Source organism: Homo sapiens, chromosome 9 (genome assembly GCF_000001405.40).
Source record: "Homo sapiens chromosome 9, GRCh38.p14 Primary Assembly".
Lineage (NCBI taxonomy): Eukaryota > Metazoa > Chordata > Mammalia > Primates > Hominidae > Homo > Homo sapiens.
Genome location: NC_000009.12, coordinates 121287406 through 121315318, shown reverse-complemented (window position 1 = coordinate 121315318; position 27913 = coordinate 121287406). Strand labels below are relative to the sequence as shown.

The window sequence follows — 27913 nt, the reverse complement described above, 5'->3', positions numbered from 1 at the left end:
TTGCTTAAATTCTTACATTCATAAAATAAAATACTATACAGCTGTTATAAAGGGTCGTGTTGAGATTTATTATAGAAAGATATTCCCGACCATGTTGAGTGGAAAAAAGACCACACAACAGCATGAATAGTTTGGATCCAGTTACACAAAATAGAAATGGCCGGGAGCGTTGGCTCAGGTCTGTAATCCCAGCACTTTGGGAGGCTGAGGTGGGCAGATCACATGAGCCCAGGAGTTTGAGACCAGCCTGGGCAACATGGCAAAACCTCGTCTCTACAAAAAATACAAAAGTTAGCTGGGCGTGGTGGCGTACATCTGTAGTCCCAGCCACTTAGGAGGCTGAGGCAAGAGATCGCTTGAGCCCGGTAGGCAGAGGTTGCAGTGAGCTGTGATTGTGCCATTGTACTGCAGCCTGGGTGACAGAGCAAGACCCTATCTCAAAATAAAATAATAAGATGGAAATGGAAAAGTAACTAGGCACAGAAAGCTGTGGCTGGACAAAGATGTGTTCTCTCATGAGGAGGAGAGGCTGATTTTTTAACTGGGTATTGTCATTTTTGTAATTAAAACATATTTTAAAAGTAATACTGGTTTTTTAAACCAGTGAAATTGCATGGACTTTTATTTTCTTTTTATATTTTGAATACTTTTTTTTCTTACAATAAACATGTATTACTTCATAATCAGAAAAAAAATCGATAATGTAGTAGTTTTTCTTTGGCAGTGGTGAAAATCGACATCCCCTTTTTGTTGTTTTACTGAAAATACTTGGGGCACAACGTAAGTGTGATTGAGCTTTCTCCCAGAGCTCAGCCAAGAGAGTTCCCTAGCTGAAGCTAAGCCTGAATTCAGTTGTGAAAATCACAAGAAAGAAATCATAAATAAAGTCATTAACTATAACCCACACCCCCAACCTCCCCACATACACACCATTTCTGTAGTATTTCCCCAAGTATTTTCTAAGCTGTTTTCACATCCATTTTATCTGTGGACTCCCAGAAATCCTACAAAGTCGACCATTCTGCTCTTCTTCCCACTTTACAGACTAGGACACTGAGACTCAGAGAGACCTCATGTATGAGCGTGACACAGATATGTACGGAGTTGATCGCATGCTCTTAGTGCAGGAAAGCAAAGGAAGTACACGAGCATCCACTGGAGACGTGAGAAAGCTGAGGCCCCCCTCCAAAGGGGTGCTTTGCTCAAGGTCCCATAGCAGTGGAGTGGGGAAGACCAAGTCTTCCACCTCCCTGTCCTGACCCCATGCCCAGGCAGACAGTGCATCTGGTGCTCACCTTGTAGAGCTTGGCCAGCTTGCGGTTGGCCGCATCCTCCTTGGCGGTGTCCTCGGTACCTGCAGGCAGAGCCGGCTTGGGGCCCAGCACCTGTAGGAGATAGAGAGATGGAGAGGAAGGGTGGCTGTGAGGGAGGGGCCAGGCTCCTGAGATAGCTCCCAGGCAGGCAAGGATCACAAGGACATCCACTGTGACCCTCCCCATGGAGTCTGACCTCCTCCAGACACATCCTGCATCTGCTCACATGTCCAGATCTGTCCATCAGAGGTCCCTTCCACCTTGTCTCCCTGACTCAGAAACTCCAGGAGAACACTCCTGCTCCTCTGCCTCCAGACAGCGCTTCAGATATTTCGCCTACCGGCTAATTGTGATAACTATAGCTACTGAACACCTTCTACCGCCTACCTTTAAAAGATGTCACTGCATCCTCGCAGCCAGGCCAGGAGGCACAGATTATCACTCTCATTTTACAGAAGAGGAATCTGAGGTCCAGAAAGATGAAGTCACCTACTCACACAGCTATTAGGTGGCTAAGCCAGAATCTGAACCTCCATCCCTGTGGCTTCAGAGCCTATTTTCACTCCCACTGTCCCTCCCAAGCCATGGTTGGTGTCCAGGTCCCTTCCCATAATAATAATCACCATTCTGCTCTCTCCAAAAGCTGGAATTGGATGCCCCCAGAGAAGCAGGAACCAAGTGACATGGAGCAGAGCTCATGGTCTTCTCCTTTTCCTAGTGAATCTTGCCTCTATTGATACGTCCTCAACGCACAATGGCTGGCAATCCCACCATGTGACTAAATGGGCCAAAAACTACCAGAAATAGTCAGAAGAGAAAAGAGGGGATTGGGGCTCAGTGGTCTCTTTCTGACCTTATTCTAGCACAAAGCTGGCCCTCTGGGGATGCTAAGAGACTGCCCTCCTTAGCTCTGCAGAGGACCTGGCCCTCCCCACTGGAGAATGCGGCTCACACTCACAGCACAGCCTTGGGTTCCAGTCCCACCTCTCAGGGTAGTCGGGGAGTTGTGCAAGAAACTGATCTCCCTTGCTCCCTAAAGTGATCAGGTTTGATGGAAAAACAGCCTCAAAAGTGAGGCAGGGCCAGCATGGTGACTCATGCTTGTAATCCCAGCATTTTGGGAGGTTGAGGCAGGTGATGGTTTGACCCCAGAAGTTGGAGACCAGCCTGAGCGACATGGCAAGACCTCATTCCTACAAAAAATTCAAAAGTTAGCCTGGCTTGGTAGCACTCGCCTGTGGTCCCAGCTACTCGGGAGGCTGAGGCAGGAGGATCACTTGAGCCCAGGAGGTCAAGGCTGCAGTGAGCTGTGATGGCGCCCCTGCACTCCAGCTCAGGCAACAATGAATAAGATCCTGTCTCAAAAATTAAAATAAAAAAGTATTTTAAAAATAAAAAGGTGGGGTAGAGCGGAAGTTTTTTTTTTTCCTCAAATTCACCTCAAATTGCCTACTGAACAGAAGAAAGTCATGAGCAGCGTGTCCCCATGGCCACCCCATTGCGCACCCCACAGGCACCTGGAGCATCGCCTCGGGCTCAGTGCCCTCCTCAGACACGTGCACTCGGGCCCGGCCACTCCGCTCGTTGTCCCGGATGCCCTTGGACACCTGTGTGGCCTTCAGTCTTTCATACCGATTGCTGTTGGAACCACACCACTGGTGGATGTTCTGGAAGACAGAGACCCAGGAAGTCAGTGCCCCGCCTTCCTATAAGCCCCGCCCAGCGACAGGGCTTGGGGAGTGTGGCGTGTGGTGTGCAGGCTCACCCTGTTCTGCACTTGCCCAGGTGAAGGCTGGCACAGTCTGCACACGTGCATTATTTACGTACAATTAAGTGTGATCTGCACACACCAGGAGATGGGAGCGCATGTCTGAGGACAGGAATTTTTTCACAGGTACAACTACATCTAGAATGTGTGCAAAAATGTTTGCCTGCTGAAGGGAATATAAATTGGCACAACCATTTTGGAAAACCATTTGGCCATAGCCACTAAAGCCGAATATACCTATTTCCTTATGACCCAGCAATCCTCCTTCTAGGAAAATACCTGACAGAAGTACGTTCGTATGTCCACCAAAAGACTTGTGCAAGAATGTTCAGAGTAGCACTGTCTGTAATAGCCCCAAACCAGAAGCCACCTCAAGTGCCCATCAACAACATAAAGGATACATAAATCATGGTACACCCACACAACTGAATCTTCCACAGCAAGGAAAATGAACAACCTACAACTAAATGCAACAATACGGATGCATCTCAGAAATGTAATGTTGAGCAAAAGGTCAGAGATAAAAGAACAAGGTTCCGTGTCTATAAAGTTCAGAAACAGGCAAAACTCATCTATGCTGTTGAGAAAGTTCAGGATGATGGTTGCCCTTGGGGTGAGGGCACCGAAAGGGGCAAAAGGGGCCTTCTAGGGGCTGGTGAGGTTCTGCTTCATGATCCAGTGTTACGTGAGTGTGTTCGCTCTGTGTAATCCATCAAGCTGTACACTCAGGATTCACACACTCCTCTGTGTGCCCATGACGCTTTAATAAAAAGCTTACACTAAATCAGTGTGTGCTCATGTTTGCACGGACATTATATCACAGGTGTATAAGCATATGAGCTTTGGGGTAGAAGGGCCGTGTCCATTTGCAGGTCTGCGCTCCAGGGATTTGTGAGACAAGTGTGTACAAAGCGTCACACATCTATAAGGTGGGCCTGGGTAAGGGCATCCCACACACATTGCCATAGATCATGGGCATGTGCAACTACATGTATGACATACACATGTGGGACCTTAAACAACATACCCGAGTATACATGTGTGGGCATTCATGATGGTGCACATGTGCACACCTGGTGGGCAAAAGCCCAGAGTGTTTGCCCATGACTGTTATATATTTATAAGCATGTGAAAAAGGACACAAGACGTACATATGAACAGAAGGTGCCAGGAAGTCTATATGTCAATCAAAGTCCAAGTACGCACTATACCCGTGGTGTGAGTCTACATTTGTGGGAGTCTTTGCATACAGACATATCTGTACGTGAACAATGCTGGTCCCTGTGGTTTGCCCACCTGCATCTATGCATTTGTTCACGTGGATGTACCCAAGTCCCTGATCAGACCAGGAGCACCTCAGTGGCTCCTGGGAAAGAGGAAAGCAGGACTCACGTTGCCCAGGTCCAGGATGAAGCAGTCGCCATTGTTGAAGCTCTCCCAGGACACAGGTACCTCGGTGGCACGGACCACACGCCGCCCTTTGACCTGGAAGAGTCTCTGCACCACCACCTCGTTGGGTACCACGTGCTTGAATCCTGATGCCACACCTCCTTTCTGTGGGGCCAAAGAGACAGCATTAGCCCAGGGGAGAAGGCCCAGGGAAGCAGATATGGAAGAAGGGGACAGAATTGAGGTAAAGGAAATTCTGGCTTGTGGACCAGGGGCTTTCCAGCAACACAGTGATTCTCAGTTAACTCAGGACTTTCATACCCATTATCTTGTTTGAGACTGTTTCAGAGTAGGAAACTGAGGTTTAGGAAAGGAATAAAATTTGCCCAAGGCCACACAGCTAAGAAGTGAGAGATTCCCTGCCCACTGCATCTTTCTGCCACCCCTTTGAATCCCATACTCCACTAACAAGGACCCCTGTAGCCACTTTCTAAATCAAAAAAACTGCAACAATTCCTTCCTCAAAACCGGCGTTTCCCAAAGGCACACTAGTCCCCTAAGACATTCTGCAAGGAAAGAGTTCCACGGTCAAATAAGCATAGGGAATGCTTCTCACTCACCCTCCCTGACTGTTATACAACGCGCATGTGCATAATAAAGGCTCTGTCAAATCCTATGGTGAATACACCTGCTTGCCTTTTGTTTTATACAGTATTTCCCTATCTTATTGAACCAAGAACTGCTTTTCTTTCTTTCCCTCTTTCTTTTTTCTTTCCTTTCTTTTTTTCTTTCTTTCATTCTCTTTCCCTCTCTCTTTCCTTTCCTTCCTTCCTTTCTCTCTTTCTCTCTCTCTCTCCTTCCTTCCGCTCTCTCTCTCTCTTCCTTCCTTTCAACAGGGTTTCACTCTGTCCCAGGCTGCAGTGCATTGGTACAATCACAGCTCACTGTAACCTCAAACTCCTGGACTTGAATGATCCTCCCATCTCAGCCTCTCGAGTGGCTAAGACTACAGTTATGAGCCACAGTGCCCAGCTTACTTATTTTATTTTATTTTATTGTAGACATGGGGTCTCACTATGCTGTTTAAGCTGGTCTTGAACTCCTGGCCTCAAGAGATCCTTGGGTGCTGGGATTACAGGAGTGAGTCACTGAACCCAGCCCAAGAACCACTTTTCTTCACCATATCCTGCCTCCAGCTTGAGTATTTTGCAAAAGCCACTTTGAGAGGTACTAATCCAAATCTTTCTCATCCTTCAAGGCTCTCTGGGAAGTCTTTCTGGATTGTTCCAGCCCATGCCACCCTTCTGCTTTCCCCTACGGTACCGCAGCAACTCCCACCCAGCAGTCCCTTCAGAGCAGCTATGGGTAAGGGACAGGTGCCCCGCCACAACAATGCTGGATGGCTTTGGGTAAGTCACTTGCCCTTTCCGAGCCTCAGGCCTCTCCTTTCTGAAGTGGAGACACAAGCTCCTGCTCCCCAGCCCTCTGTAATCATTACTGCATCCCAGAGCAAGGCGTTCAGGAGAGCTTCCCTGCTGCAGTCACAACTGCCCTCACTCAGAAGCAAGCCAAGGAAAGTCAGCTGGGCTTTCCTGTGAGCAGTCCCCAGCTCCATGCCCCAGAGTTGTCAAATCAGAGTTGGAAAGGTCCTTCTACTTCACCCCACTTTACCCACGGTAAACTGAAGCCCAGAGAAGTGAAGTGACTTACTCAAGGGCACTCAGCAAGTGCGTGGCCAAGCCAAGGCTGGAAACCTTGTTTCCTCCTCCCAATCGGGTGCTCGTCTCCCTGCTCCGGAGACACATGGGGGTGGAAGCAGAGGGCTTCCACTCAGGCCAGCAATGCAGCCACCCCATCCAGGGCCCCTCAGCCCACTGTGCTAAGTCTAATTCTAGCCGCACAGACTCGAGGAGGGCAAGGGACAAACGGAGTCCGTGTATATTGGGCTCCTGCTCTGTCTTCCTGTGTCAGCAGTATACGTGTTTGTGAAATGATGATGCCCACTGTGCCGGGCATTCTTCACGCATCGCCTGCAAGGGAGGTGTCATTGCTGCATCGCACTGATGTGCAAAATGGGGCCCACAGGTGACGGGACTTGCCCAAGGTGGTGGAGCTAGAATTCAAACCCAGGCATGTCTGAATCTGTAAGATCCACATTCTTCTCTCAATATCAGGTTTTCTCGCTCTGTTGCCCAGGCTGGAGTGCAGTGGTGTAATCTCAATTCACTGCAGCCTCCACCTCCTGGGTTCCAGCGATTCTTGTGCTTTAGCCTCCCAAGTAGCTGTGATTACAGATGTGCACCACCATGCCCAGCTAATTTTTGTATTTTTTGTAGAGATGAAGTTTCACCATGTTGGCCAGGCTGGTCTCGAACTCCTGGCCTCATGTGATCCTCCCGCCTTGGCCTCCCAAAGTGCTGGAATTACAGGCATGAGCCACTGTGCCAGCCAATATCAGGTTTTCTTAGAGCAAAGATCACTCAGTCATCCAGGATGGGAGGCAGGAACAAGCCATTATTCAGAGCCCTCTTTCAAGTAATGGATGTTTTTGGGTTGCCAGTGGCTGGAGGACTCCCTGGTGTCCCTTCTTGGTCTCAGCTAAGGCCTTTCAAGAGTCCCTTGGGACTAGCAGGGCGGCCAGTGCTCACAGAGCTAACAACCTATCTTTCCACCCTGCTTCCAGGGCCCCTTCAAGGGAGCTGTGGGTTGGCCACACTATGACTGACCTCGGTGTGGAGCAAGGGGTAAGACTGTGACTTCTGCTCCTGAATTTGCTGCCCAAAACTGGGAAGCAAGACAGTAAATTTTTCCATCATCAGGAAGGAGTGAGTTGGGACTCTGGGGTGAGGGACTGACCAGCTGCAGTCACAACTGCAGTCACAACTGAGGGGGTCCGAAGGCTGGATGGCCGTGAGGCCTGGGATTGGAGAGCCAGGCAGAGTGCAAAGGACATAGGTCAGGGCAATGCAGGGGAAGCGCAGAAAGGCAGGGGAAGCGCAGAAAGACAGGAGGGTTCTGAGACCGATGTAACCAAGCCTGCCCAGAGCAAGTGAGGAAGAACCGCCAGGGAAGAAAATGCAACAACCTGCGCTCACCTGTGCTCAGCTGTGCTTACCTGAAACAAGCACAGTGGCTGCCACTTACCGAGCTTTGCCAAAGCTGGGGCACCTGCTTTAAGTGCATGCAATGAAGTCCTGACCACAAGCCCCTGATGCAGGAACTATTAATAATTTTCCCACTTCAAAGGCAAGGAAACTGAGATTCAAAGAGATTAAGCATTGTGTCCAGAGCCCAGTGCTGGGCGGCAGTGCTGGGTTCTATCCCCAAGATCCCCCTTCCAGGGACCCAGCTTCATTCAACTGTCAGCCTAGGAACTCCTGACCAGGGGACTTCATTCACCTGGACATAATGAGAGAGTGGATGTGCAAACCTTTTCCAAAAGGTGCTAGAAGGACTCACTGTTTCTATTGATTCCTCGGAGACAAGGAAATGGGGGGAAAGAAAAAATTTTTACCCCTCTAAATATTTTACTTGTTGAAGTATGCCTTTCATTTTTGTTATTAAAATCTTTACCCTATTTTTTAAAAAGGAAAAGGGTTGCTTCATGTCATAAATCTCACTTCTTAAAAATTCTCTGTATTTATTTATAAAATAATTCTTTTTTTTTTGAGACAGAGTCTCGTTCCATCGCCCAGGCTGGAATGCAGTGGTACGATCTCGGCTCACTGCAACCTCTGCCTCCCAGATTCAAGTGATTCTCCTGCCTCAGCCTCCTGAGTCGCTGAGATTACGGGCACCCGCCACCACGCCCGGCTAATTTTTGTATTTTTAGTAGAGACAGGGTTTCACCATGTTGGCCAGGCAGGTCTTGAACTCCTGACCTCAAATGATCCACCCATCTCGGCCTCCCAAAGTGTTGGGATTACAAGTGTGAGCCACCGCACCCGGCCTTATAACATAACTCTTGATGTTGAATTATTGCAGCCATGAGCTGCCTGATTAATTAACTCCTCTAATTTTACTGGTCTAGGGAATTAGAATTGGAAAGATTAATTAACAAAAATAAATTAAAGCAAGCTCTTAGAAGACATTAGTGGATCTACAAGGGCAGGGGAAAGAAGTTTTTTGAAGTTTTTCCTGTTTTTGACTATCATCTTTAGCACTGATTGCTGCTTTCTGTGGTCTAATCATTAGGTGAGCAAGATTGGCATCAAATTATTTGAACAAAATTCTACAGGATAAATTGTTTTAAAAGCCATTTTCCAAATTAAAGTGATTACATATATATGTGTCTGTCTACCTATATACGTTCAGAGAGACAGAAAGAAATTAGCCACTATATATCTCCAAGGGGAGAATCATGTTGGGAGGGCTTTTATTTTCTGGAACCTATATTTCTGTAATGTTTGACATTTTACAATAAGCTTATATTGCTCTTGTAGTCAGAAGAAGGGGGAAAAGAAGCAATGAAGATTTACATGAAAACAAAAGTTAAACTGTTTCTAAAACAAAGAAAAATGAATTGATCAGGCTTGGGCCCCTCCACCCTCTAAACTCAGAGCTCCTTATCTAAGGAATAGGAGAGAGGGAGGACAGAAAGGTTCCAGTGATTCTATGGGTTCCCAATTGTGTTCCTCAGGTCCAAGGGCTCCTAGGTCTCTGCCTAGCCCAGATTCCATTTGAACAATGGGTTTCAAATAACCCAGCCCCACGGGGTCTCCAGGATTCAGTCCAAAAATGGGGGTCTGCGGAGTGGGAGGAGGAGGGGCGGGGAATCAAGGGATTCTGAACTCTCTTGCAGGGCAGTGATCTAAGGATTTGGGGGTCATAGAACAAGAGGGCCAAGCCCCATGTCAGCCCTTTCTAGTGGCTTGCTGTCCCCTCCCTGCCCCTTCTCACACTCCGAGGACAGAATTGGCTCAGAGGAAGAGGCTTTCACAGGAACAAGTCTTGCATAACAAGCCCTGCTCCTCCGGGATCTATAATTGATGAGGGCGCCGGGGCGAGAACCTTGGGCTGGACCTGCCAAGTGCGGGGGCAGACTGAGGACTTACAGAAGGTGGTAAACAAGACCAGCCCTGGGCCTCCCATTCACACCAGGAGCCAGCGCCTTTCAGGACAGAAGCCCCAAATCTGGGCCCAGCTGGAGCTTTCCTCGAGTGTGATCCAAGAACATCCTGGAAAATCATCGGGGGGCCGGGGAACCTGGCTATCCAAGTAGATCCCAGGCCATATCCGAGCGAGGATCAAAGATCAGGGAGCCTCCAAATGTCTACTCTGAACCAGGTCTGTGCTAGGCCCTTCACACCTGGGTTTGCACACTAGTCCAATCACTTACTAGCTGTGTGACCTTGGAAAAGTTGCTTAACATCTCTGTGCCTTAGTAGCCTCATTTATAAAATGGTGCTAACAGATACCCTACCTGTTAGGGTAAAATGAGTTAAATGAGTAAAGCACCCAGAAGAGTCCCTGACACACAGAAAGTAATAGATAAGTGTTCAATGACAAGCACCTTTTACTAGCTGTGTGAACTTAGGCAAGTTAGTTTGCTCCTCTGAGCCTCAGCTTCCTCGTCTATGAAATGGAGCATTACCATCCACCCTAAAGGCTACAGTGAGAATTAAATGAGATCTTGTAGTCAAGGCTTAACACACGGTAAGGGTTATTATCATCCTTGTTTATTCCTAAAAATCCGGGAGCCTATGACCTGCTCTGCAACATTCTCTGACCTGGAAAATCACCCTTTCTGTGTATATGAGAACTCTCATATTTGTAACCATGTTAGACTGTCAGGTTATGCCCTAAGAAACAGTGACTAGGACAAGATAGATTAGCAAACACCTACTCATCTATCTCATCCCTGAACCCCTCTCAGAGCTGAGCACTCCCTGGGATCCCACATCACCCCACCTGGAGGCAATGGATTAACTCTTCGTGAGCCTGCCAGTCTCCCCAACTCCTCAGAACACTCTCAAGGGCAGGGACCCACCTTCTTCACTTGGGCACCCCAGCACCCATCACAGGGCCTGGCAGAGTTAAGGGAACACAATCCTGGTTTGAATATAGTTATGTGACCTCTCTGAGCCTCCAGTCTCATCTGTAAAATGGAATGGGAATTACTTACCTCCCAGGACAGTTGTGAGGCTGAAACGAGATAACCTACATTCCCAGTACCATATCTGCCATAGTGTAGCAACAATGAGCTGGTGCTGCTGTTATTGAGGCTCAGTAAATATTTGCTGAATGAATGATGAATGGAGGATGATTGAGAACACCCGCCCAAAGATACAAGACTTGCCCAAAGTCTCACAGCAGTTACAGAAGGTAGCCTTCCAACCTGAATCCCAATCTCTGTGATTCCTGGGCAAGTGTTCGTTCCATTTCTTGCTCCAGAAGTTGCAAAAAGACCTGGTCCTTCTCCAGCTCAGGGGACTGGCTCCCAAACTTCTCACCTCTCCTTCTGCAAGGTATCAAGGCCCCAGAAAGGGCTGTGGGAAGAAGGCAGAGCTGGACACCTCAGCAGGAGGAGCTCAGTGCAAGGGCACAAGGGGCTCCAGGGAATCCAGCCCAGCCCTGCCCAGCCCTGGACTGTGAGTTCCCAGGACACACCCTGCCCATTGCTATCTGAGTCTCACTGGCACTTTCCCATCATTCAATCTCTTATGCCTCACCAGGGCAGACAAGGTCACCACTCCATTGACATAGATGATCCTGAGGTCCAGAGAGGAACAGTGACTTCTCTAAGGTCACACAGCACATCAGCAGCACAGACAGGCTTGGACCCTACCCTAGGACCCTGGTCATTAGAGGTATGTTGGTTTAGTGGAAAGAATGCTAAGAGTCAGAACATCTGGGTTCTAGTCCTGGGTCTGGCACCAATTCGCTGTGTGACTCTGGGCCAATTGCTTAAGACTTTCTGTGTCTCAGTTCCCCTTCTCCCCTGGTAAAATGAGATTTGGACTCTGACATTAAGGCCCACCTGGCTGTGAAAGCCTGTGATCCCCTTCTCTATCCTGACCAAGGAAAACCCCAGCTTTGTAAAACTACAGTGTTTCCATAGCCCTTCCAGATGGCCAAGCCCCACGCAAGGCATTTCCCAGCCACCCCCACACCAAATCCTCTCCCAGCCCTGTAGGGCAGGTACAACTGGCTCTCAGGTAACCAGAGAGGAAAGGGAGGCTCAAGGAGGTCAAGTGGCTTGCAGGAAGTCACCAGCATATTAGGGTGCAGCCTCTTGGAGCTCCCAGTTTGGCCTTGCTCTGCCCCACCTGGCTAGGAGCTTGGGAAAAGAGCTCTGTCTTGATCCAGACTCTGAAGAGTTCAAGTTCAAAGGGGATTCTAGTGAACAGAAAGAGGGATGTGACTAACAATGCCCTATTAAATACTTAACACGGGGCCCTCTGTTGGCAAGGCCTTAAGAATTAAGGGGTACCAGAACAGGACTAGGCCAAAGCCCCCCAGGGCCTGCAAGAAGAACTGGATTTTCACCTCTGGCCCACTCCTCACTGTTGGGGCTAGGAAGACAACACTATGAACTTATGGGGAATTTTCTTCTCCCCATTTTAAGATAAGGAACCAGAGGCTCAGAAAGGCAGTGTGATTTGTCCAAGCTCACATGGCTAGAAAGAGGCCAGGATTTAAACACAATGTTGGTTGACTCCAAAGCCTGACCTCTGATCGGTCTGCCCACTGCATCACAAGGCCAAAAGATAGATGGGCCTGAGTGAGCCCTGTTACTGGTGCATCTGTCCCTACCGCTCAAGCAAGGTGGGGCCCAACCCACCTTGTACTTCAGGCCAGACTTGAAGTAGCCTAGGAAGGTGGCCGACTCGAAGCCCTGGACCTCACGGTGCTGCACGGCCCGGCCGTTCAGGTAGTCATCCAGCTGCACGGTAAAGATGGCGGCCGCCCCGCTCTCATCCTGGCTGCACTCATTGCCTACGGGACATCAGAGCAATATGAGCCTGGCTTTCCAGAAGTATCCCAGACCCCTGAGGAAGAGGAGGTGGAGGAGGAACCCCAGCACTGCCCTGACCTAGCTGTAGAAGCTGAGAAAGCCCTTGCCTTCTGTGAGCCTCAGTTAATCCATCTGTATAACAGGACGATGGACCTCATTTTTCTCTAAGCGTCCTCCCAGCTCTGTCACATTCCCTTATGTTCATTCTCAGCCCTCCTGAGCGTAAACTCAGGACTGGGAGCATCAGATCAATTCACAGATTAGGAAACTGAGGCTCAGCAAGGGGGCAGAACTTATAGCATCCCACGGCAGAGGTGTGGCAGGGACTCCGGGCTCCTGACTCAAGGGCAAACTGGGGAGTGCCTGGAGCTGGGCCAGGGAAGTTGTGGAGAGGTCCAGGGTCTCCAATTCACCCACAGTTCTGAGTGTCACAGTAAGGTGTTTAACGCTCACAACATTCCTGTGAGGTAGTGCAGAGCTATCATCATGTCCACTCCACAGGGACACTAAGTGACTTGCCAAAGGACAGAACATGGGTTAGGGGCAGAGTGGGGGTGTGAACTTGGCCAGGCTGGCTCTAGCGTCTCAGGGCATGAACCACCAGTCAAGGGCCCAGCACATACTAGGTGCTCAATAATCAGTTCCCTCCCTGGGGACCATGCCCCAAAGGTCTGCACTGTTCAGAATGGGGGCTGGGGCAGGGGCTGGGCAGGGCCAGCCTCACCCAGCCAGTAGTGGAGGTCATACTGCAGATTTCCGTTCCTCAGCTGCACTGTCTTCAGGATGACGTAGGCGTCGCCCGTGAAGAAGTCTCCATAAAGGTTGGTGGGCACGGGCACCAGATCGAACTTCTCCACACGCCAGATCTGCAGGCCAGGCTCCTTCCCTGCCTTGAGGAACTCGGGGTGTTCCACCACCATGCTGTTGGGCTGGGATGAGACAGGGCAGAGCCTAAGCGGGGCAGGGTCCTGGCAGGGAGAGACCCCAGGCATGAGGGAGGGCGGTTTCTAGCACCAAGAGCATCTCACTTGAGCCTCCTGCTCTCCCCACGCCCCAGGGAAGTCTATCCCCTTCTGGGCACCCTGTCTCAACGAGTCAGCAAACAGGGCAAGAGTTTTATGCTTCAAAACCTGTGCCCTGGCCAGCATCTGTCCCTCCTACTCAGCCCCTCTTCAGCTTTTTCTGGTGATGGAGGGTACAGAGGGCTCTACCTCCCTGCTCCTTTCTTTTCTTTCTTTCTTTTTTTCTTTTTTTTTTTTTTTTTTTGAGACAGAGTCTCGCACTGTTGTCCAGTCTGGAGTGCAATGGTGCAATCTCGACTCACTGTAACCTCTGCCTCCTGGGTTCAAGCGATTCTCCTGCCTCAGCCTCCTGAGTAGCTGGGATTACAGGCATGCGATACTATGCCTGGCTAATTTTGTATTTTTAGTACAGACAGGGTTTCGCCATGTTGGTCAGGCTGGTCTGGAACTCCTGACCTCAGGTGATCCACCTGCCTTGGCCTCCCAAAGTGTTGGGATTACAGGCGTGAGCCACCGCGCCCAGCCTCCCTTCTTTTCTTATTGCCAATTGGATGTGATAACCGAGGCACAGAGAGATGAAGGGACTCTGCCAGGGACCTCCAGCTAGGAAACAGTGTAGCAGGGGTTGCCCCAGGCTCCAAGATCACAAGCTCTGGGATGATGGGTAGACCCCTCAGATGGCAATAGTAAATCTAAGGGTCCCCAGGGCCTCAGCTTGCTTCCTTCCAGCATCTTCAATGGCTCTTGAAACCAAAGGGCCCTCTGAGAGCTCATTATCCAACCCCAATCTGCAGACAGAGAAACTGAGGCTCAAAGAGGGGAGGGGACTGACCGAAGGTCACACAGCCTGTTTGCTTTTGCTCTTTGGAAGTGGAAAGATTTCCAGCACGGGGCCTGGCAGACAGCAGGCGCTAGCTCTGTGCACGCTAAGTGGGTGCACTCGCAAATCGAGGTGAGCCCACCTGAGCCTCCTGTGATCCACAGGAGCCCCCTCTCCTCTCTGTACCCATCCCCATCATACCCCCAAGAAGGGTCCAAATGGCTGAGTCCAAGTGGCCTCCTGCGCTGTCTGCCTCCTCCCTCCTGCCCCACAACACACCACCCCCAAATTTCATTTCTTGGAAGAGGAGAAGAGGATGCACCAGGGTCTGCAGGAGGCTGTTGGAGATGAAGTGGTTAAAAATGGGGAGGCTATTACACATGCACTGGGGCTGGGGCCGGGGAGGGTGCAGGAGGGTTAGGCTGGAGTCGAGGACAAAAATCAGCAGGTGCAGGTCACCTCTGGCCGGAGAAGAGATCTGGTGGGAGTAAAAATCAGAGGAGAGAAGTCAGAGAAACAAGGTGGGGAGAACTCAGGCAGAAGGGTGGAAAAACACGAAACCAGACAGGGCAGGGAAGACAGCAGAAAGGAGAGAAGAAATGATAATAATGACCATAAGCAGACAGGCGAGGTCATACAAGAAAGAAGGAAATATTGGAGAAGGAGAGAGATCAAATGAGAACAAGGAATCGTAAATGGAAGAAGACATCAGAAGAGAGAAGGAGAGAAGTGAGGCAGAGGGGAGAAAAAATCAGAGAAGGAAAAGGAGAATTCAGGAGACAGGAGGTAAGATGTTAGAGGAGGACAGGGGAAAAGAAATCCGGCCAAGGTGAGGTTAGCTTCCTGGGAAGGAACAGCCAGGGCCCCGAGGCTCCCACCCTCGTCTGCGAGCCAGAGCCCCGGAAGCAGCAAGAGATACTTACAAAGCAACAAAACAGTTTTTCCATTCTAGACCTGAATTACTCCCCTTTTCCTAGCGCTGTATCTGCAAGAACTTACAATAGAGAGTTACTCCGGGAGCCCCGGGGCCCCCCGGGCACTCACCCGCGCCTCGGGCACCCGCCCCTGGGGCGCCCCCGCCTGGGACGCCCCCCGCGACGCAGTGGCCGCGCGGACGGGCAGCGACAGCGCGCACAGCGCCAGGGACAGCGCGCAAAGCAGCGCGGGCGCGGGGCGGTGCGGAGCCATGGTGGCGACAGCGGCAGGGGACCCAGTCGGCAGCCGCGGCCTCGGGTCGCCGACCTTAAGTAGCCGCCCGCCCATCCCGCCCAAGCCGGGGACCGCCCCCCAGGGAGGGCGCGGGGCGGGGATCTGTCTCGGATCTTGGAGACATCTGGGTTCCCACCCGGATCGACCCGACAGGGCGCGGCAGCCCCTGCACCCCAGCTCCGGGGCGGAGACCCAGCACCAGGCCTGACATACGGCGGGCGCTAGCTGTGTGCACACTAAATGGGCGCAGGCACGAGCGGCGGCGAGCCCAGCTGAGCCTCCTGCGACGCACGCGAGCCCCCTCGCCTCTCCGCACCTAACACCTCCAGCAAAAAAATAACATGAACTAACAATTTTTGAAAGCTTTTCACCGAGGCATCAGCACATCCTTTTCAGAGAGGGTACAACGGCCAACCCATTTTACAGAGGGGGGAACAGCGCAGAGTGGTGAAGCAACTTGCACACAGCTTGTAAATGGTGCTGCCGGGATTTGAACTCAGGCCGTAGTGGGCCTGGGCAGAACCCCCACCAGGCAGCATGCGCCGCAGCAGGGCAGGGGACCCGGCTCCCGTGGGCAGGTGAAGCCGGCAGGACTCAGAGGGGCGGGGCAGAACGCTCAGCTCCTGGGATAGCCCCTCCTACTTTTCTTTCCTTCTTTTTAAAAAGTGTTTGTTTTTTAAAAGTCTTATTTTGATCAAAACGTAAAGTCACATGTTTGTACACAGTTGTTCCCTCTCCATCACATTTACCTCTCCCCAGGGGCAACCACTGCTATCTACCTCTTTTAGCTGATGGTTCAGGGTTTACCGTCATGTCTCTAAGCAAGCCCTTGTTACTTCCTGAAGTTGTTTTGTTTGGTTTCCATTTTAGGTACTATTCATTGACTCCCCTGGGGGAAGACAGAGTTTGCCTTTCCTCCTCACTCCCAGGCTCCCTTCCCATCCCCATCCCTCCACCCTCCCACTAGAGTCATTGGGTTAAGGGAAGTGCTATCCAAACTGAAGGAGGCCTACTTCCCACCTACTCCAACCCCTCTCCTCCCTCCTAGCACTGCACAGAATCCAACTGCTCCACCTCTAAGTTCTCTTTGTATCCCAGACCTCCCCTTCACCCTGCAGCCTGATGCAGTGACAGGAAAGAGGACTGGAGAGTTGGAGAGCTGGCTTTCATTCCCACCTCCACTGTGCATGTTTTCAATGTCTCATTCTTCTCATCTACTAAATGAGTACAGTAGTTGAGAATTAAATCGGTCTGTGGGTATGAAAATAGCCTGGCCAGCAGCTAGGTAAATGTGAGTTCTCCACCCCTCCCCAGAAACTATGGTCCCCCTTCCCAGCTCTTCCGGAAGTCCAGCCTCTATCTAATGAGGCTGAAGTTTGCCCTCTCCCACCCACAACTTGCTCCCACCTAAGGGGGGATATGGTTCAGATAAAAGACTAAAGGAACACAGAGAAGACAATTCAGGCTGGAGAGATTATAAGAAGGCTTCGTGGAGAAAGGGACTTGTGACCCAGGCCTTGAAGGACAGGGAGGACGGAGATTAAGAAGAAAAGACATTCCAGGGGGAGGGGACGCATAGGCAAAGGGCAGGCAAACATAACCATATCCAGTGAATTACCAGGGGTCCAGTATGAAACACAGGGAGCAAGAGCAGAGGAGGCTGCAGAGGGCAGCAGGGGTCACCGAGGCCTGTGTGCCACACTGAAGAGTCTGAACTTTGTCTCGGTGTCTGTGGGGGGCCCCAGAGGGATACCTGAGTTCTCCGGGCTCCAAGTCCAGGCCTGGGCCTGCCCAGCCTGCAGTGGGCCAGCTCTGGCCTAAATTCAGAGAGCTCTCCCTTCCCCCTAGCCATTTGGAGGATGATATTATAAAAAACCCCACAGCTCCCATAGGCTCTTAATGGAAGCATAAACCAGTTTCACCTCTCTAGATAAAAAATTTATCCAAACTCAAAACACACAACGCAACAACAGTTCCACTTTCTACAGAATTACTTACCAACAAACACAAAAATATATGTGCAAGGATGTTCACTGAAGCATTGTTTGAAGAAAACTGGAAAGGACCCAAAAGTCCTGGTTAAATAAATGATGGAGCCACCATTACAATAGACACTATGCAGCTGTGAAAAAAGAATGAGCTACGTCTGATTGTGCCTGGCATATAGTAGGCACTCAATAAACACAGGGAGATCTCCAAGTGCAGAAAGCAATTGCACAACAATGGCTATAGTATATCTCCTCTTCTCCTTTTTACAATGGTGCCTGTTTTTGCATATACCCTTAAAAAATCAGAGGGTAAGCACCAAACTGTTAAGGCCGTTTGCTGGAAAGGGAAGAAGGAGGAGAATTTCATCCTCAAACATTGCCGTGGCTGCCTGAGGCTGGAGGAAGTGCCTAGATCACTGCAGTTGGCATGAGGGAACTTTTCGGGGTGATAAAAATATTCTAATACTAGATTATGGTGAAGATTATATAACCAATTAAATCTACTAAAATTCATAGAACTATAGGTATACTTAGTGTGTGAATCACTATGATATGTAAATTATACCTTAATATACTAGCCGAAAAAATTGTAAAAGCATTGCCGTAGCATTTGAAACTTTACAAGTGTATATCCAATATAGTTTTGTTCTTTTATAAAACACAAATCCAGAAACAATCCCTTTTAAAATATGCTTATAGTGATGCCTGCTCATTAGACAATTTGGAAAATTCAAACAAGTAGGAAGAAATTTTCTTAGCTGCCCAGCCCCCAGACTGAACCTGGGCCAGCAACTGCCCAGCTGAGGGGCCCCTTCCAGAGCAGTGTGACTCTGACCTGCATAGTTGGTGATTAATAGAGGGGCTGCTGTGGCTTGACCTTGGCCCCAGAGGCCACTGGCCATCAACCCAGGGACCACGTTAATGATCACAAAGGGCCTGCAGCTTTGCCTGCCATATAGCTCTGGAGCCCAGGCCCTTGGCACAGGAGAGCTGGTGAACAGACCCCACCCTTGCCCTCTGGGAGCCCTCACTACAGACCCTGGAGCCCTTGCTACAGGGCACTGATGAGTGGAGACCATGATGCGGGCAACATTGTCTTACTCTGCTTCCAGCCTGGAAGAAGATGTATGAGTTCAAGGGAATGGGGGAATTCAGGTACAAGAGAAGGACCCCTAGGTGGAAAGGAAGAGGCCCGAGTGCTAGGGCTGGCTCTGACACTGACTTCCTGGTGACCTTGGGCAAGTCACTGTACCTTTCTGGGTTTCAGTGTCTTCATATGCAAAATACAGGGTAGGGCCTGATGCTCTGACTCGAAGCCTCTTTCCTAGCCCAAGCAGTACCAGATACTGGTTGTACAACCAAATCCAGGACCTACAAGTCTCTGAGCTTCAGGGTTCCATCTGTAAAATGGGTACATTCGGCCAGGTCACCTCTGCAGGCCGTTCTGGATCAGACAGTCCACAGCCCCTGACTTGAGGAAGGAGGCACTGCAGTCACTGATAGCAGCATGCCACCTCACCTCTGGGCCCAGCCTGGGAAACTGAGACTCAGGGAGGTTCAAGTCACTCAACTGGAAAGAGGTGTTGCCAAGATTCAAACACAAGTCTGACTGGCTTCAGAGCCCAGGCTCTGTCTGCGGAGACCAAGCAGGAGCTCCTAGCACCACCTGACCTGGGCAGGGAGCAGCAGTGCCCTTTCCAGGTAACAGGCTAAATCAATCAAGCCCAAGTCAAGCCTGGCAGCCAGGAGTCTCCGGAGCAGCTGTCCCCACGACACTTCCCAGGCCAGGGCAGGAGGTGACACCGGGAAAGCCCTCTAGCCTTTCACACACCTGATGTGACTGCCCAGGCCAAAGGCCTGGAAGATCCCCAGGCTGTGGCCATTTAGTGCAGGACTGGCTGTGGCACCTGCCCTCTGAGCCACATGGCACTCAGGTCTGGCATGGTTTCTTTGATTTGGAGGCAGCCCTTCTGCTACCAACTCAGTACATGAGCATGTCCTGGTCTCTGCTTCTGTGCACCTCGGAGATCTCCTTGACCTCTGATCTCGGCTATTCCTGGATCCTGCCCAGCTCCAGGCACACAGTAGGCAGATTCTCTGTGTCTGCCACAGGATGGGGGCTGTACAGCCCATGTCCCCCTGGGGGACCCCTCCCTCCCCTGTAGTTGACCCAGGACCTCCACAACACAACCAGCTCTGGGCCCTCCTTTCCTCTGTAACCTTGGTCTCTGTATGTCTGCGGGACCCCCTACCAGAGACCAGAGGAGGTGGCCTCCCCCGCCCCTTCCATCCCCAGCCACAGTGTACAAAAAGGCCTTGGCTGGGCCTGGAAGACACCACCCTGTTCTTTTCTCTTCACTCCAAACACTGTTGTTCTTGATTTTCCAGGCAGCCAGCCACTCATGGAAAGCCCTCTCTTGGAGTCTATTTACTTTTTGGCTCACTGCTGTTCTCTGGGTCCTCCTAGGAGCACCCGCCCTTCTGACCAGGGATTTTGCTAATTGGGACAATGGTCAGTAAACAGAGAAGCCAGTTATGAAACCCAGTGGAACTGAACAGGGCCTGGAAAAGTTCCGGCAAGCCCTGTGGACAGGTTTGCGAATCTGGACTCAGCTTCTGCAATCCAGACCTCAGTTTCCTCATCTCTAAAAGGGGGAGAATGGTACCTAGAGCATGGAGCAGTGAGGAAGCCCAGGATGTGACGCACAGGAGCTCGCCAAAAGTAAGCACTCTTCTTTCTGAGCAGCCTGTTTTCTGCACAGACGCCTGCCTTCGGTATGTGATGGTGCGGGAGAAACGTTACAGATTTCACGGTGAGACGCTAGAGTTCAGGTCTGGGCTGTGTAAGGCAGAGCAAGTTACCTTCCCTCTCTGAGCCTCAGGTCACTCATCTGTAAACAGGGACAGTGATGCCCAGTTGCAGGACTTTTGGGGGAACAGAAGTGAGACTGTTGGAGTATGTTGTTCAGAGCAGGACTTATTAGCAGCAGTGTTCATTAGTCTGTCTTCTCTTTTGTAGATGATCACACCAAGAACAAGAGGGTGACTTTTCAGGGTCACAAAGTCAAACAAGTGCCTGGCAGAGTAGATCTAGAACTCAGGTCTCTCAACAACCAGGCCAGAACTGAGGCCTGGGTCTCCATGACACAGCAGTGCTCCCCATCGGGGCTGGCTGGCCTTCTGCTTTGGCCAAGTCCATCCTGGGAGTGGCCAGCTGTTGGGGAGATGGCCAGCGGGGCTTGGCTGAAGCCAACTCCAGGAGACCAACTGTCTCAGGGACCAAAGCCATGGTCCTTTCCCAGCTTCCGGAGCCAGCCCCACCTAGTGCTGGGACCCAGGGCTGGACATCTGGAGGGGCCTGGCCCTGCTACTTCCTGACCCCATGTCCTGGAAGCAGCCAGATTTGGCCATGGGTATGAGCTCTGGGCCCTTCTTGCTAGGACCCACTTCAGCAGTCTGTCTCCCCTTCTCTCGGGGAGGAAATGGCCCTGAGAGGTGTGGTGGGTCAGTAGCCAGGGCTGCAAATAACTGTCCTAGCCCCTTCAGCACCCCACCACCCACCCCTGGGAAGCCCAGGCACAAACGCAAATCCACAACAAGACAGGGAGGCCTGGCTGCAGATGCTGGGACCGTGGAACCAGCAGAAGACTTTGGAGAGTCACAGGCTCTGCAGAGCTGCAGGGGAAGGCAGGGTCTACAATGCCCCAACCCAAGCCAGAATGAGCAGGAGAAGCCACAGGAGGCAGCTTCCTGCTCTGCAGAGGAAGGACTTTCCAAGAGGGAGAAAAACAGAGAGCAACCTTCTGTTATGTGATCGTGGAAAGAGCTCCCACCAGAAATGCCTGCATTTAAGTCCCCGGTCTATCACTTATTAGCAGTGTGGCTTTGAGCAAGTTGTTTTGGCTCTCTGAGCCTCCGTTTCCTCATCTATAAAACGGGGATTATAATACTTTTTTCCTAGGGTAGTTGTGTGAATTTAATAAGGTAAAGAACATTTGGGGCTTAGCACAGTGCTTGGTACAGAATAAGCACATATAAAGGAGGCTGCTTTTATTGTTAAAAGAGAGACTTGGATAAGTTTCTATCTCTCTGAGCCTCAATTTCCTTACATGTAAGATAGGGTTAAAAATGCCTTTCTTTTTTTTTTTTTTTTTTGAGATGGGGTCTCGCTCTGTCACCCAGGCTGGAGTGCAGCGGCGTGATCTCGGCTCACTGCCACCTCCGCCTCCCAGGTTCAAGTGATTTCTGGCTAATTTTTGTATTTTTAGTAGAGACGGGGTTTTACCACGTTGGCCAGGCTGGTCTCGAACTCCTAACCTCAAGTGATCTGCCCTCCTCGGCCTCCCAGAGTGCTAGGATTACAGGTGTGAACCACCGCGCCCGGCCTATTAAATGGCAAATTTTATGATGTGTGTATGTTTCCACAGTTTAAAAAAAAAAAAATGGAAAGACAAATGCTGGTTTCCTTCCCCTTTTCCAGAGAGATAATGAGCTGCCCAGTGGTGATGAGGTTGAGGGGACATAGGTGACAGGAAAATCGGCCCATGTCCAAGAACCCTTCAGGCCCTGGGACTCAAGGATGCTAAAAGACACACAGCAAAAAGCAAACAAGTTTGTGCATCTGGCCAGGGTCCCCTCCTGCCTGCCTAGGGATCAGATTCATCCTTCACTGGGATCTACCAGGAATGCTGGAAGCTTCCCCAGGCCAACCACCTTCCCGATGGGGACAATGAATGATGCAGCACATCAGATGATGGTGCCACATCCCTCCTGCTGCTGGCTTCAAACAAAGCCCTTCTGTGTCCCCAAGCCTCCCATACCAACTATGGCCAAGATTTCCTCCTTGCTGGGCTCTGGCAGGAAGTGTGAGCCCATTGTCTGGATGTGGAAAATCGGGGTCAAAGTGCCTTTCTTGAAGGCTAGTTGAGACGATTAAATGAGACCATAAATGTGAGGGATCCGTGGACCATGCCCCGCAAAGGCACTCTGCAGGGAGAACTCCCTGAGAAAGACAAAAGGGGGCAGGTGCGGGGAAGAGGGAAAAGACAATGGGATCCAGGAGTGCCTGCGGAGTCTCTGTGGGCTGGAGATACCAAAAATGACCAACAGGGTGAGGACAAGTGACCTTCCAACCTAAGGAATATGAGGCAATGTACAGGGATGAATCTGGACAGAGCCCAAATCCCTACCACCAGGGAACTTGAGCCAGTGGCACCTTCTGCGGCACTTCAATTTCCTCCTCTGTAAAATGAGGTGAAGATGCCAACCTGGTGGGGTGTCTGGTAGGACTGAAGGAGCCCTGGCACTGTGTTTGGCACACAGCAGGTGCTCAGTAAGCATAACATCCAAAGATGACCTACAGCATGTGTCCAGACCCTATACACACATACAGCTCACTGGCCCCTATACCTGCCCTATACCTACCTCATACCTAGCCCTCTACCTCTGTGTCTTTGCATACAAAGCAAGGGAGACAGGGAGGGTTCCAAACAAGGCTGGTACCAGGGATGGGGATGCATCTCAGGAGAGGGCCTCAAGCCAACACCTACAGAGCCAGCCTTGCTACCCAATCCCCTCCATGAGACTCCTAATGACACCCCCTCCCCTCCTCTCTGACTTTGCCTGTTCTGCCTCACCCAAAAGAACAAGGGCTCTTGGCTGGGCATGGTGGTTCATGCCTGTAATCCCAGCACTTTGGGAGCCCAAGGCAGGAGGATAGCTTAAACCCAGTAGTTTGAGAACAGCCTGGGAAACAGAGTGAGACCCTGTCTCTACACAAAATTAAAAAATTAGCCAGGCGTGATGACATGCACCAGTAGTTCTAGCTACTGGGGAGGCTGAGGTGGGAGGATCACTTGAGCCTGGGAAGTCGAGGCTACAGTAAGTTATGATTGTGCCACTGCACTCCAGCCTGGGTGACAGAGTGAAACCCTGACTCAAAAAAGCAAAAAACCAAAAACAAAAAAGTGAGGGCTCTGGATCCCAGTCCTAGCACTTACAACTGAGTGATGCTGAGCAAGGGACACAACCTCTCTGAGCTTCAGTGTCCACAGGGATAGAATGGCCATATTATCTCACGGACTCACCAGAACTTGATACAAGTACAAATCAGTTAGAGAAAAAGTCCAATGGGGGCCAGGTGCAGTGGCTCACACCTGTAATTCCAGCACTTTGGGAGACGGAGGCAGGTGGATCACTTGAGGCCAGGAGTTCGAGACCAGCCTGGCTAACATGGTGAAACCCCATCTCTACTAAAAATACAAAAAATTAGCCGGGCATGGTGGTGGGCATCTGTGGTCCCAGCTACTCAGGAGGCTGAGACAGGAGAATGGCTTGAACCCACGAGATGGAGGTTGCGGTGAGCCGAGATCGCGCCACTGCACTCCAGCCTGGGTGACAGAGCAAGACTCCAACTCAAAAAAAAAAAAAAAAAAAAGTCCAGTGGGGAGACATATCAGAGAATAGTTGTCCCTCCCTATCCACGCGGGATCAGTTGGTTCCAGGACCTCCCTCAGATACCAAAATCTGCAGATGCTGTACACCAATATATAAAATGGCATAGTACAGTATTTGCATACAACCTACATATATTCTCCCATGTATTAAACTTTAAATCTCTCTAGATTACTTATAAAACCTAATACAATGTAAATGCTATTTACATAGTTGTTATACTGTAGTTGTTACATAAAAATGTAAATGTAAATTTCTATGTAACAATAAACTATGTAAATAGTTGTTACACTGCACTGTTTTTAAAATTTGTATTATTTTTACTTTTTTTAATTTTTATTTTTTTTTAATATTTCTGATCTGTGGTTGGTTGAATCCACGAATGAGGATATGGAGGGTGCAAGGTAGCAGATACGTGGAATGAACAAGTGTAGAGAGCTTGTGCCTGTAATCCCAGCACTTTGGGAGGCTGAGGAGGGAGGATCACTTGAGCCCCAGAGTTCAAGACCAACCTGGACAATGTCGTGAGACCCTGTCTCTCTCTATATTAAAAATAACAAAAATAAAAATTTAAAAATAAAAAAGAGCACTAATGTGCAACATGAGGACTATAGGGAATAAGTTGTACTGTATTTTGGGATTCATGCTAAATGAGCAGATTTTATTAGTGCAGTGCAAAAGTATTGCAGTTTTCGTCATTGAAAGTAATGGCAAAAATTGCAATTACTTTTGTGCCAGCTGAGATGATGAATATGTTCATTTGCTGCACTATAGTAACCTTTTTACTATCTAAATGTATTCATAACATCGCGTTATATACCTTAAGTATATACAATAACTTGTATTTTTTAAAAGAGAAAAACTCCACATAGCATGATTAGAGATTCTTCACAATTTATCTAAAACTTTTGACTACAATAGAACCATCAGAGATTCAAAGATATTTTTATTGCTACTCATCCTTTTAACTCTAATAGGTTTTATTTAAAATACTTTCCCCTCCTTTAACCCAAACAGAGGTATAGTACTGGAATGCTTTTCTTCCTTCCCCAGCTTAGAGGATAATCATAGCCAGCCGGAAGATTTAAACAAGATCCAGCACCTAAAATACAGTCCCTGGCACGAAGCTGGGCTCCCGTGTGGGTGCTGCCTTCTGTCCCCGGGTGTGCTTTAGGCCTCACCTCCATCCAGGCACCTGCCCAATCACCAGCACTATCCTTCAAGTGCCTGTCCATGTGGGAGTTTCTAGAACCCTCTGGGATACCCTTGGAGGCAGGACCCAACCACGGTCATCCCACCAAGACAGTACATAAAGGCTGAGACCAGAGCAGAGACCAAGCTCATCTCCTCTCCACTTTATACCCACTTCTCACCCCCACACTCCAGCCACTGTCCTGGTTTGGTGTCCCCATCTTTTCCCTGGGATCATAACATCAGCTCCCTCACTCCCTTAAACTCTCTCTGCACTGGGCCTGTCACTCATACAGATTGCATCATCCCTTCTGCAGACCTCGGTGCAGACAGAAAGAAGTCAGGACTCCTGAGTTCGGTCCTCTGTGATATGGGGCCCACAAGCCCTTGCAGTCTCATTGCCCACTAACCCCCCAACAACATCCCCTGTGCCATCACCTCTATACAACCTCACCTGCCTGCCTCCGGGAGACCAAGGTCTAGCCTTGGCTCTGCCTCCCTGTGTGACCTTAGGCAAGTTCTTTGCCTCTCTGGGCCTGTCTCCTCACCGGGCTACTGGGGCTTTATGCAAATGAGACAAGATGAGGTAGTGAGTGCCAGGTGCCAAGAGGCTCAAGAAATGTTAGCCTGCAATCCACGGCCTCCTCTTCCGCACATCCAACCCCTCCTACAGCAGCTGTTAGCAATCTACTTCCTCAACCTTAACAGCAGCAGGTTCTCTCTCTCCTAAGCTCTGGAATGCAGACGTGCTCACAGCCAGCACCAGCAGGCAGGGAGGGGAGCGGAGGGAGGACAGCTTAGAGGAAAATTACCCGGCTTTCACCCCAGCCAACACTGGTGCTCACAGCTATCTCAGAGAGAGGGGATCTGGGGGCCTGGCAAACCCTTCCTGAGCCGTGGGCTTGGCCCCAAGCTTTGACCCTTGTCTGAGCTGATGGGATGGCGGGGGGTTACTCTGGCCACCACTCCGCTGGGCCCCTCCCACTCTTTGGCATCCAAAGAGACAGGGAGGAGGAGGGAGAAAAAAAGAAAAAAAAGAAAAAAAAAACAGACTGCCTTTGTGAGGAGGAGGAACTTGGTTCCTGCTGTTGCTTGCTGGGGCCCCAGGCACCAACATAATGGAGGATCCCTGATGACAAAGGGTCCCACTGTGGCCAAGAGCCTGCCCAGTTGCCATAGCTCAAGTCTCAAATCCTAAGTACCATGTCTCTGCATCATAGAGTTTGTCATGCCCAGTGTCACATACCCTGTGACTGTGCCACGTAGCAGGCCCTGCGTTCCTCTTGCTTTGTCCTGTGTGTCTCCCTTTAGCGGCATCCCATGCCTCTTACCCCTGGGTCATGCTTCATGCACCATGTGATGTCTGTTTTGTGACAGACTCTATACCATGTACTATCTCTTGAATGCCGTGTCCATGATACCAGGTCCCACCCCTTAGAAGTATGTGCCATAAACCTTGTCCTGGATCTATGAATTGTGTTGTCCCTTGCTTGGTGATTCACATCAGGAAGGGGACAGGATGATGTTTAGGGAGGACAGGCTCTCAGATGGACTCCCAGCCCTATCAACTATCATCTATGTGAGCCTGTAAAAGTGACTTCCCGTCTCAGTGCCCGTTTCTTCAGTTATAAAATGAAACTGATACTCACATTCACCGAGGATTAAAGTAGGTAATGCATGTAAGATGCTTAATCTAAGAAGCTGGCACAGAGTGAGTGCTTTAAAATGTTTGCTAGGCCTGTGCCAACCGTACCTGGGCATCTGTGTTATGTCCTGTGCCCTGCGTACCAGCCTCCCACGTGCCCAGCTCCTCGGGTGCGTCAGACACTGTGCACATTAGTGAAATTCAAACAACCCCCTACAAGGAGGGTAGGATTATTCCCTCTCATACAGAGGAGTAATGGAAGGGCAATAATTTGCATGAGGTCACAGGGCCAGCTGGAATGAACACAGCTCTGGATCTTCGGAGAGACAGAAAGCAGGCCAGGTGAGGTGGCTCATGCCTATAATCCCAGCACTTTGGAAGGCTGAGGCGGGAGGAATCCATTGAGTTCAGGAGTTCAAGATCAGCCTGGGCATCACCACAAGTCCCCATCTCTACAAAAAATACAAAAATTAGCCAGGCATGATGGTGTGTGCCTGTGGTCCCACCTACTCGGGAGGCTGAGGTGGGAGGATCGCTTGAGCCCAGGAAGTTGAGGCTGCAGTGAGCAGAGATCACGCCACTGCACTCCAGCCTGGGTGACAAAAAATACAACAATAAAACAACAAAGAGACAGAAAGCAGATGCGTGGTCAGCTATGGGGTGTGCATAGAGATGGACGTAAGCAAGCATGAGGGATCCTTTTGGGGATGATGAAAATCTTCTCAACTGGATTGTGATGATGGTTGCATAACTCTGTAAATGTACTAAACATTATTGAATTGAGTGAATTATGTGTATGTAAATTATATGTAAATTTACTCCAATAAATCATGTAAATTATATTTCAATAAAGCTGTTTTTAAAAAAAAAAGAAAAAAAAAGCCCACACGCTTCCTGTGTACTATTCTGCCAAAGCATTCTGCAAGAGAAGGGCGCTCCCTGTGGGTCAGTGAAGTTCAATCAGAGGCCGAGCTGCTCTGAGGCCCAGCTGGGAGCCAGTTTGAGCCGAGCAGTTCCCTAACACCTCTGTGGACCAGGTGTGCAGCAGGATCACCCAAGGAGCTCAGGAAACAATAGATTCCCAGGCCCCACCCCTAGCCTCTGAGTCTGTAGGTCTAGGGTGGGGCCCGGGAACCTCTGATTCTGAGGCTCAGCCAG

The 27913-nt window shown here is 50.1% G+C and overlaps 1 protein-coding gene across 49 annotated transcripts in view, besides 5 other annotated features; it reads right to left on the bottom strand.

Annotated features, from left to right (window-relative positions):
* Positions 1–27913, bottom strand: part of GSN (gelsolin) — a 131360-nt gene that overhangs the window by 17524 nt on the left and 85923 nt on the right. For 13 of the 49 annotated variants that reach the window (NM_001353054.1, NM_001353053.1, XM_047423273.1 and 10 more), the window contains 5 exons: positions 13152–13356; positions 12254–12408; positions 4474–4635; positions 2831–2980; positions 1296–1385 (listed from right to left, as the gene is read on the bottom strand). In NM_001353054.1, coding sequence (NP_001339983.1) covers positions 1296–1385; positions 2831–2980; positions 4474–4635; positions 12254–12408; positions 13152–13347 — 753 coding nt within the window. In that variant the 5' untranslated portion in view covers positions 13348–13356. Of the gene's footprint in view, positions 1–1295; positions 1386–2830; positions 2981–3090; positions 4636–12253; positions 12409–13151; positions 13396–15192; positions 15264–15313; positions 15489–15614; positions 15660–15829; positions 15884–17476; positions 27616–27913 lie in introns of those variants that run through there. The other 36 variants (XM_047423267.1, NM_001353064.2, NM_001353066.2 and 33 more) reach the window with 13 other exon arrangements.
* Positions 15190–15850: an enhancer, noted in NCBI's record as "H3K27ac-H3K4me1 hESC enhancer chr9:124061747-124062407 (GRCh37/hg19 assembly coordinates)". NCBI's record gives its function as "activates a minimal SCP1, AML or CMV promoter by ChIP-STARR-seq in primed H9 embryonic stem cells {active_cell/tissue: H9 hESC(primed)}" and the evidence as "EXISTENCE:reporter gene assay evidence [ECO:0000049][PMID:30033119]".
* Positions 15313–15362: a silencer, noted in NCBI's record as "silent region_20235". NCBI's record gives its function as "represses an Ori minimal core promoter by ATAC-STARR-seq in GM12878 lymphoblastoid cells {active_cell/tissue: GM12878}" and the evidence as "EXISTENCE:reporter gene assay evidence [ECO:0000049][PMID:35858748]".
* Positions 15433–15612: a silencer, noted in NCBI's record as "silent region_20234". NCBI's record gives its function as "represses an Ori minimal core promoter by ATAC-STARR-seq in GM12878 lymphoblastoid cells {active_cell/tissue: GM12878}" and the evidence as "EXISTENCE:reporter gene assay evidence [ECO:0000049][PMID:35858748]".
* Positions 20308–20930: an enhancer, noted in NCBI's record as "H3K4me1 hESC enhancer chr9:124056667-124057289 (GRCh37/hg19 assembly coordinates)". NCBI's record gives its function as "activates a minimal SCP1, AML or CMV promoter by ChIP-STARR-seq in primed H9 embryonic stem cells {active_cell/tissue: H9 hESC(primed)}" and the evidence as "EXISTENCE:reporter gene assay evidence [ECO:0000049][PMID:30033119]".
* Positions 27614–27908: a silencer, noted in NCBI's record as "tiled region #178; K562 Repressive DNase unmatched - State 1:Tss". NCBI's record gives its function as "represses a minimal TATA promoter and a strong SV40 promoter by Sharpr-MPRA in K562 cells {active_cell/tissue: K562}" and the evidence as "EXISTENCE:reporter gene assay evidence [ECO:0000049][PMID:27701403]".